This window comes from Homo sapiens, chromosome 16 (genome assembly GCF_000001405.40).
Source record: "Homo sapiens chromosome 16, GRCh38.p14 Primary Assembly".
NCBI lineage: Eukaryota > Metazoa > Chordata > Mammalia > Primates > Hominidae > Homo > Homo sapiens.
The window spans coordinates 2,927,848-2,937,671 of NC_000016.10; the positions used below are offsets into that span (position 1 = coordinate 2,927,848).

The 9,824-nt window shown below is 58.3% G+C and overlaps 1 protein-coding gene across 27 annotated transcripts in view, besides 1 other annotated feature; it reads left to right on the forward strand.

The window, feature by feature from the left end:
* FLYWCH1 (FLYWCH-type zinc finger 1) overlaps positions 1-9,824 on the forward strand; it is a 39,278-nt gene that overhangs the window by 15,917 nt on the left and 13,537 nt on the right. For 3 of the 27 annotated variants that reach the window (XM_047434780.1, XM_047434779.1, XM_047434781.1), the window contains 6 exons: positions 977-1,070; positions 1,766-2,163; positions 2,563-3,033; positions 5,283-5,735; positions 5,869-6,132; positions 9,274-9,537. In XM_047434780.1, coding sequence (XP_047290736.1) covers positions 1,839-2,163; positions 2,563-3,033; positions 5,283-5,735; positions 5,869-6,132; positions 9,274-9,537 — 1,777 coding nt within the window. In that variant the 5' untranslated portion in view covers positions 977-1,070; positions 1,766-1,838. Of the gene's footprint in view, positions 1-976; positions 1,071-1,765; positions 2,164-2,562; positions 3,034-5,282; positions 5,736-5,868; positions 6,133-6,241; positions 8,579-8,792; positions 9,538-9,824 lie in introns of those variants that run through there. The other 24 variants (NM_001308068.2, XM_047434785.1, XM_047434778.1 and 21 more) reach the window with 18 other exon arrangements.
* Positions 303-812: an enhancer, noted in NCBI's record as "NANOG-H3K4me1 hESC enhancer chr16:2978151-2978660 (GRCh37/hg19 assembly coordinates)". NCBI's record gives its function as "activates a minimal SCP1, AML or CMV promoter by ChIP-STARR-seq in naive H9 embryonic stem cells {active_cell/tissue: H9 hESC(naive)}" and the evidence as "EXISTENCE:reporter gene assay evidence [ECO:0000049][PMID:30033119]".

Consider the following 9,824-nt stretch of genomic DNA (forward strand, 5'->3'; position numbering starts at 1 on the left):
GGAGATGGGCACTCTATGTGCGAGGACCCGCACTGGCGCTGGTCTCTGAGTTCCCTCAGTATTTATTGATGACTATTTTTACTATCTTGGCAAGGGGAGTGTGGCAGGGCAACAGGGTGATGGTGGGGAGAAGGTCAGCAGGGAAACATGTGAGCAAAGGAATCTGTATCATGAAGAAGTTCAAGGAAAGGTACTGTGTCTGGATGTGCATGTAGGCCAGATTTGTGTTTCACTTCACACAAACATCTCAGTGTAGCAAAGAGTAACAGAGCAGTATTGCTGCCAGCGTATCTTGCCTCCAGCCACAGGGTGGTTTTCTCCTATCTCAGAATAGAACGAATGGTCGGCTTTACACTGAGACATGCCATTCCCAGGGACGAGCAGGGGACAGAAAGCTTCCTCTTACCTCAACAGCAAAGAGGTTTCCCTCTTTCACTCCTCCTCCTCAGCACAGACCCTTCACAGGTGTCAGGCTGGGGGATGGTAAGGTCTTTCCTTTCCCATGAGGCCATATCTCAGGCTGTCTCAGTGGGGGGAAACCTTGGACAATACCTAGGCTTTCTTGGGCGGAGCTCCCTGTGGCTTTCCACAGTGCATTGTGTCCCTGGTTAATGGAGAATGGCAGTGACTTTTACCAGGCATACTGTCTGCAAACATATTGTTAACAAGGCACATCCTGCACAGCCTTAAATCCATTAAACCTTGATTCAGTACAGCACATGTTTCTGTGAGCACAGGGTTGGGGTTAAAGTTACAGATTAACAGCATCACAAAGCAGAGCAATTTTTCTTCGTACAGATCAAAATGGAGTTTCTTATGTCTTCCTTTCCTACATAGACACAGTAACAATATGATCTCTCTCTCTTTTCCCCACACAAAAAGCCCCACCCCACACCATGACTGCCACTGACTGCCCCCAGGCCCCCACCCCAGCCCTGTGCTGGTTCCCCATTATCTGACCTTTCTGCCTCTCCAGGCTGGAACCCGTGGTGACCTCAGAATTCTCCAGACACCACCACAGCCCCGTCCCCGACCAGCCGAGGCAGCCACAGCAACAGCTCCGGCACAAGGTGGCTGCCACTGTGGGGCCCTGGTATCTCCTGAAGTGGGGGTGGCCTGGGGCCTCCAGGCTAGGATAGGGACTGGGTCTGCCTGAGCCCAGAAAGGGCTTTCTGCCTCCCAGGCCGTGATGTGGTGCCGTCCTCTGGAAAGGGCTCTGCGTACCAGGCCCACATGCCTGAGACAGGTGCCTGGCGTCCTGGTGAAGCACATGGTTTCCAAAAAGGTCCTGACAAGTCCCTGGGCATCTGAGCAGAAACGGGTCTCAGCTTCCCGCCTCTTCAGCCTCAAGTGTATCACAGGTGTCTGTGCCTCACTATCCTCGTCTATAACTGGGTCAATAAGAACGTTCTGCCGTCATAATGTAGGGACTGGAGGGGGGACTGGAAACGCGGGTGGAAACCCTTCGTCCGTGCTCAGCATGTGGCTGAGCTCTTAGTCCATTAGTCACTCTGATGGCCCCTTGTGGAGGGTGTTTATTGTGCACATTTTCCAGATGGGGAAAGTGGGGTTGGATGGGGCTGACGTACCTAAGGCTGCCAGGAGAGGAACTGGCAGAGCAGAAGCCTAGTTCCATCAGGCCCCCGGCCAGTCTTGGCCCCAGCGAGCAGTGAGGCAGCCCCATCTGCCCCACCTCCCTCCCAGATCCACGTCTAGAGTCCCCCAAGGGCTTCCACCACTGACGGGATTTTGCTTCCTTCCTTAGGACGGAACCACTGCACTCCAGGTTCCTTGCTGGGTGCTGAGCGTGGCCTGAGGGACAGGCCCTGGGTCCCGGGATGCCCCTGCCCGAGCCCAGCGAGCAGGAGGGCGAGAGTGTGAAGGCCGGCCAGGAGCCATCCCCCAAGCCAGGCACGGACGTCATCCCGGCAGCCCCCAGGAAGCCCAGGGAGTTCTCCAAACTGGTGCTGCTCACAGCCTCCGACCAAGATGAGGATGGGGTGGGATCCAAGCCCCAGGAAGTGCACTGCGTCCTGTCCCTGGAGATGGCTGGCCCCGCCACCCTCGCCAGCACCTTGCAGATCCTGCCAGTTGAGGAGCAGGGAGGGGTGGTCCAGCCAGCCCTAGAGATGCCTGAACAGAAGTGCAGCAAGCTGGATGCAGGTGAGGTGTGGCTTCCCGCCCCTGCCCAGCCACCCCGTGGGTTCCAGCGCTCCCAGCAGGCCCTGTACACCCTGCTTCAAGCATAGTGTCTTGTCCTTGCTCCAAGCTCAGCCTCTTGGTCTCTGATCCTGAGCGTGTCCGAGGCTGGTGGGATGATCACAGTCAGGTACCAGGAGCTCCTGGGAGTTGCAGTGACGTGCAGAATTCCTTCAGCTCCCTAAAAACATCCACTACCACCCCCAAAATAAAAACCAGCCCTGAGAGTCTGGGCTTCTTGCTTGGGAGCAGGAGGAGAAGGCACCTGCCATACTCAGGATCCCCACGCCCTCCCTGGCTCTCTGTGCCTGCGACCCTGAGCTTTGCTCTAGCTTAGCTAACCTAGCCTTCCCGTTCCCCCAGCAGCCCCTCAGTCCCTGGAGTTCCTGAGGACACCATTCGGGGGCCGCCTCCTGGTGCTGGAGTCCTTCCTGTACAAGCAGGAGAAGGCAGTGGGGGACAAGGTGTACTGGAAGTGCCGCCAACATGCTGAGCTGGGCTGCCGGGGCCGGGCCATCACCCGAGGCCTGCGGGCCACAGTGATGCGGGGCCACTGCCACGCGCCCGATGAGCAAGGCCTGGAGGCCCGGCGCCAGAGGGAGAAACTGCCCAGCCTGGCCCTGCCAGAGGGCTTGGGAGAGCCCCAGGGTCCTGAGGGCCCTGGAGGCCGAGTGGAGGAGCCCCTGGAGGGGGTGGGCCCGTGGCAGTGCCCTGAGGAGCCCGAGCCCACTCCTGGGCTGGTGCTGAGCAAGCCGGCCCTGGAGGAGGAGGAGGCACCCCGAGCCCTGTCACTGCTGAGCCTGCCGCCCAAGAAGCGCTCGATCCTGGGGCTGGGTGAGTACAATCCACTCCCCTGCTGCGTCCACTCGGGGCAGGGGACCCGAGGGCCCTTCCTCAGCCCAAATAGAAATGTGGGGTCCCACAGGGTCTTTTAAAATGTACTCAAAGCTAAAATGACTTTTAAAAATATAAATGTGGCCGGGCACAGTGGCTCACGCCTATAATCCCAGCACTTTGGGAGGCCAAGGCGGACGGATCATGAGGTCAGGAGTTCGAGATCAGCCTGATCAACTTGGTGAAACCCTGTCTCTACTAAAAATACAACACTTAGCCGGGCATGCTGGTGCGCACCTGTAATCCCAGCTACTCAGGAGACTGAGGCAGGAGAATCGCTTGAACCCAGGAGGCAGAGGTTGCAGTAAGCCCAGATCGCTCCACTGTATTCCAGCCTGGTGACTGGAGCGAGACTCCATCTCAGTAAAAAAAAAAAAAAAAAAAAAAAAATACATAAATGTGGGCTGGGCACAGTGTTCATGCCTATAATCCTAGCACTTTGGGAGGCTGGGGCAGGAGGATCACTTGAGCCGAGGAGTTCAAGACCAGCCTGGCCAATATAGTGAGACCCCATATCTACAAAAAATCAGCCAGCTGTTGTGGTGTGTGCCTGTGGTCTCAGCCACTTGGGAGACTGAGGTGGGAGGATCACTTAAGCTAGGGAGATTGAGGCTGCAGTGAGCCGGGATCACGCCACTGCCCTCCAGCCTGGACAAGAGACCTGGACCCTGTCTCAAAAAAAAAAATCAGAATTTTATCTGGTTCCCATGCAATTCTAGTGTCCATTAAGTTCAGGAAAGACACCTAGGCCTGCTGCAGTGATTCATGCCTGTAATCTCAGCACTTTCGGAGGCTGAGGTGGGCGGATCATGAGGTCAGGAGTTCAAGACCAGCCTGGCCAACATAGTGAAACCCTGTCTCTACTAAAGATACAAAAAACTAGCCTGGCGAGGCTGGGCGCTTTGGCTCACGCCTGTAATCCCAGCACTTTGGGAGGTCGAGGTGGGCGGATCACGAGGTCAGGAGATTGAGACCATCCTGGCTAACACAGTGAAACCCTGTCTCTACTAAAAAAATACAAAAAAAGATTAGCCAGGCGTGGTAGCGGGCGCCTGTAGTCCCAGCTACTCGGGAGGCTGAGGCAGGAGAATGGCGTGAACCCGGGAGGCGGAGCTTGCCGTGGGCCAAGATCGTGCCACCGCACTCCAGCCTGGGCAAAAGAGCAAGACTCTGTCTCAAAAAAAAAAAAAAAAAATTAGCTGGGCGTGGAGGCGCCTGCAATCCCAGTTACTCGGGAGGCTAAGGCAGAATTGCTTGGAGGCGGAGGTTGCAGTGAGCCAAGATCGAGCCATTGTACTCCAGCCTGGGCGACGTGGCAGGACCCTGTCTCAAAAAAAAAAAAAAAAAAAAAAAAAAGATGGCTGGTGGGAGAGTCTTGGGTTTTGGGTCCTAGGTTCAACTTTCAGCCCTCCCTGATGGTAGCTCTGTAGCCTCAGAAAATTGGCTTAATTTCTGGAGTTTCAGGAGCTTTATCCTAAGGTGGCTGTGATAACCTGGATTGTTGTGTAAATTGCACATTTGGGGCTTGGCAAGTGGCAGATGGGAGTTCTGGCTGTTTTATTACCAGTAACTGGGACATGGGCTTGGGTTCGAGGAGGCCACGTGGCTCCTGACACAGCCTTAAGGATCTGAGGTGGCCCCTGCCCTGGGCACCTGGGGTGGGAAGGGAGGTGCAGGGAACAGGGAGACTTATTTTTCACTGTGATCTTTTCGAACCATTTGAATGTATTATACCTTGTGTGTTTTATTCAAAAATGGGTAGATTTGTTAAACAAAACCTAAAAAAAATATGAGCAGGAGTGACAGAAAACAGAGACCACTGAGTCTGAGTCCAGGTTGGCCCCTCCCGGTGTAACCTTGATGCAACATTGAGCAGGCCTGAGCTGGGGTGACCTCACTGACAGCTAGGAGAGGAATGAGACTCTCCTCTGGGTCACTCGGTGGTAGGGGTGAGCTGGGGTGGCCTCACTGACCGCTAGGAGAGGAATGAGACTCTCCTCCGGGTCGCTTGGTGGTAGGGGTTCAGTGGGAATGGGTTTGGGGCCTCTGACATATCTGGCTCAGGAAGCCAGGGTAAATTTCAGCCTTAAAGGAGAAAGGCTCGTGTCAGCCCCCACAGTCTGCAGGGGCTGTCCCTCCTGGGCTCCTCTCCACCCCTGGTGATGTGACCACTTGGGTCTCTCCTCTAGGACAGGCCCGGCCCCTCGAGTTCCTGAGGACGTGCTACGGGGGCAGCTTCCTGGTACACGAGTCGTTCCTCTACAAGCGGGAGAAGGCTGTCGGGGACAAGGTGTATTGGACCTGCCGGGACCACGCGCTGCACGGCTGCCGGAGCCGGGCCATCACCCAGGGACAGCGGGTGACTGTGATGCGTGGGCACTGCCACCAGCCCGATATGGAGGGCCTGGAAGCCCGGCGGCAGCAGGAGAAGGCCGTGGAGACGCTGCAGGCTGGGCAGGACGGCCCTGGGAGCCAAGTGGACACGCTGCTCCGAGGCGTGGATAGTTTGCTCTACCGCAGGGGTCCGGGTCCCCTGACTCTCACCAGGCCTCGGCCCAGAAAGCGAGCAAAGGTCGAAGACCAGGAGCTGCCAACCCAGCCCGAGGCCCCAGACGAGCACCAGGACATGGACGCAGACCCGGGTGAGCTGCCTTCCTTTGGGGCTCACCGGCCCTGCCTTGACTCTTGCCTCCAGAGGTCCAGGGAGGGAAGGGGGTGCGATCAGGCCTACCCAGCCCCTGTCCCCTCCCCTGACTGCCTCTTGAACCTCCCCAGGAGGCCCTGAGTTCCTGAAGACGCCCCTGGGGGGCAGCTTCCTGGTGTACGAGTCCTTCCTCTACCGGCGGGAGAAGGCGGCTGGGGAGAAGGTGTATTGGACCTGCCGGGACCAGGCCCGCATGGGCTGCCGCAGCCGCGCCATCACCCAGGGCCGACGGGTGACTGTCATGCGTGGTCACTGCCACCCGCCCGACCTGGGAGGCCTGGAGGCCCTGAGGCAGCGGGAGAAACGCCCCAACACGGCGCAGCGGGGGAGCCCAGGTACCTGGGGGTGGGCTGGGAGCTGGGCCCCAGGAAGCAGGCAGGAGCCCCACACTGCCTTTCCCTCTCCATGCTGCGGCTCCCCCTGGCAAACGTCCTCTTCCCTTCTTTGAACATCCTAGAAGGAACTATGGCCCTGGCCTCCTACTCCTTGGCCCCCCTGATGCCGCTTTCAATGGGTCTCACCTTCCTGCTCAGCCCAGCCTCCCCCTTCCAGCCTGACCTGCCCCACAGTAGCAGCAGCAGGGATAGACCTCCCTGCCCTCCTCTTCCTCCGTTTGTCTTAAGAGTTCATAGTAGTAATAGAGGGTGTTGACTGCACATGGTCAGTCTCGTTGCTATGGTGGAAGGCTGTCTTAACGTCTGAGTGGTTAAGGATTGAGGAGGTGATATTTACTTACATGCAGCCGGTTTCTCCTCTCGGCCCGCTGTTCCATAGACACCCATAATGTCCTGAAACGCTGGCCCGAGGAGGGTCCCGGCTGTCTCCATCTTTATCCACACGGTCGGCCCCCCGCAGTGCCTGGTGTTTTGACTTCACAACCACAGTTGCGTAAATGTCCCCATAGCGTCTGGCTGAGGAGCCATTTCATCGTGGCCTCCTCCACTCACCTGCTCTTCCTTCACGCCCCAAGGCGCTGGCCTCTCTTTCCAGTGGCTCTTCCGGATCCTGCAGCTTTTGGGTCATGTGAGTTGCCTCATGGCCCTAAAGTTCTCTCGGACTTGAGAGCTGTGATTGTCTTTCTCTTTTTGTTCCATCTCCAGAGAGACAGTGCTGCGAGGTCCCCGCCTCGTCCTCACCCCCGCTCCTGACCCCACAAGTAACTAAGCAATTGTTTCTTAGGGTCTTGGCTGCCCTATTTCCTAAAATGTGCCTCCACTACTATTAATTGGTTTTTCCATTTCCTTGTCAGCTACTCAGTGCACTTCTTGCACAGGCTTTTTTTTTTTTTTTTTTCTTTGAGACGGAGTCTTGCTTTATCACCCAGGCTGGTGTGCAGTGGCGTGATCTTGGCTCACTGCAACCTCCGCCTCCCGGGTTCAAGCAATTCTCCTGCCTCAGCCTCCTGAGTAGCTGGGATTACAGGCGCCTGCCACCTCGCCCAGCTATTTTTGTATATTTAGCAGAGACAGAGTTTTACCATGTTGGCCAGGCTGGTCTCAAACTCCCAACCTCAGGTGATCTGCCTGCCTCGGCCTCCCAAAGTGCTGGGATTACAGGCGTGAGCCACCATACCCGGCCACGTTTGGTTTCACTTTAGCCTAGAAACCTGCTCGCGGCTGACTGGGGGGTGCTCTGTGGTCCCATCTTCCTAACACAGCTCTGTCTTCTCTGTGGGGTGGCAGCTGCTGCGTTTGTTTGCCTGCTTTTGTGTGTCCAGGTCGACCCCACCTGGATCCGATCATCCACAACCGCAGGTTGCTGGAACCTCCCAGTGCAGCCTGGCCTGGGGGCAGAGGCCGGGCCCAGCTGTCCCTCGGGGTTCACTGTGCTGACTCCCTGCTTCTGGGCCTGCCTTTCTCTTTCTTGGTTTTCTTTATAATTTTGTGGTTTGGAGAAGTCCTGCCTCCCGTCGTTTCCTGGGCCGGTCCCGGGAGGTAGCACGTTGAGGCCTTTCATGTCTGAAATGTCTGTCGCTTCCCTCCGCCGGAGGGGCAGCCTGGCCTCCGTGGTGTCACAGGTGCAGAGCCTGCCCTTGAACGTCCCTGCCGCTTTTGCGTGACTGATCCTCTGTGTGCCGTCAGCTTTGCTTGAGGTTTTAGGGTCTTTGCTCCCTCCCAGCTGTACCTGGCTGTGCTGGGGGCCTTTTTAGGCTTTGGGCTTGTGTCCTTCATCGTGGGGTCATCCTCTCGTGCTCTTTGTTAACTTCCCCATCATCATCCCTTTCTGTTGCTCCTGTTAATCAGATGTTGATCCTCCCAGATGAGGGCGTCTTTTTTTTTTTTTTGAGACAGTTTCACTCTTGTCGCCCAGGCTGGAGTGTAGTGGCGTGGTCTTGGCTCACTGCAACCTCTGTCTCCCAGGTTCAAGTGATTTTCCTGTCTCAGCCTTCTGAGTAGCTGGGATTACAGGTGCACACCACCACGCCCAGCTAATTTTTTGTATTTTTTTAGTAGAGATGGGGTTTCACCATGTTGGCCAGGCTGGTCTTGAACTCCTGACCTCGTGATCCGCCTGCCTCGGCCTCCCAAAGTGCTGGGATTACAGGCGTGAGCCACCGTGCGCAGCCCCTTGCTGGATATTTTCATCCGTGTGGAAGGGGATAAAGCGTGCCCCATGGTCACACCACCCCCTCCCGTGGCCTGGCGTCCCCACCTTCGTCCTGACCTCTTCTGTCTCGTGGTCCCCAGGCTCCTGTGCTGCTGTGCCCCTCAGGGTCCTCCTGCCTCCCGAGCCTCCCTGCTCCACATGGCCCCTGCCCAGCCCTCTCCATCCCTCTTGAAGGTAGTTCCACAGCCAGACACCCTCCCGCCCCCCGCTGGCCTCTCCTCTAGGGCTTGCTACCCACCCCCATCCCCTGCTTCCACTGCCACCCGATGTGTCCACGATGCCCCAGGCCACCTCCCCACCTCTGTGGCCCCTGAGCCTGCACGGAGGAAAGGGTATCCTCTGGGCAAGGCACAGCCACCCGCCAGGTCCTCCCTCTCACCACATCCAGGACAGTGGACGCTGCTCCCTGCCTCTTCCTCAGAGTCCTGGGGTCACACCTCTACCTGCGCGGCTCTCGGGGGCCACCCCTCTCAGCCCCATCCGGCTCCTGAGCAGCTTTGTCCCCAGAGGGCCCCGGGTCATTCCTCTGACCAACCAGGCACGGCGCACCCTGCATGCAAGCCTGGGCGGGTGCTGGGGACGGACGAGTGACGCAGCAGACACTGCCTCCCTGAAGGCATGGCAAGGTGGGACGCTTGGCCGCCACCTGCAGGGGCCTCACCTGACCAGTCCCCAGCCTCAGGAGGCGGACCCCAGCAGCTGGAGCCCCAGCAGAGTTGGGGGGATGGTGGCATCTGTGTCCTGGGCTCCGGGGCCACCTCACTGTGAGGAGGAGGTGTGGGCGTTGTGGGAGGTCTCATCTCGGGGCCATGCTGATCTGGGCTCTGAGAGCTGGTGTCCGCTGCTCCTCCCCTCCCATTTCTCAACAGGAGGCCCCGAGTTCCTGAAGACGCCCCTGGGGGGCAGCTTCCTGGTGTACGAGTCCTTCCTCTACCGGCGGGAGAAGGCGGCCGGGGAGAAGGTGTATTGGACCTGCCGGGACCAGGCCCGCATGGGCTGCCGCAGCCGCGCCATCACCCAGGGCCGGCGGGTCATGGTCATGCGCAGGCACTGCCACCCACCGGACCTGGGCGGCCTGGAGGCCCTGCGGCAGCGGGAGCACTTCCCCAACCTGGCGCAGTGGGACAGCCCAGGTGCGTGTGGAGGGTGCTGGGCTGGGTCTGCCTGGTCTCCCAGGACCTGTGCCCCACACGCTGGCTGGAGGCTGCCCGTGGGGTGTTGTGTGTTGTGCATGGTGGTCTGACAGCCGGGGCCATAAACTCCCCAGGGGCAGGAGGCTCCATCTGCGGGCTCCGAGCTCCTGCAGCTGGTCCTCTGGGTAGTGGGGACTGGCTGTCGGAGGTAGAAACCCACTCAGCTCTCTAGAGGAAGAGGATGGTGGCCAGGGGTGGCATTGGCAGCCACAGAGAGTGCTTGGCAT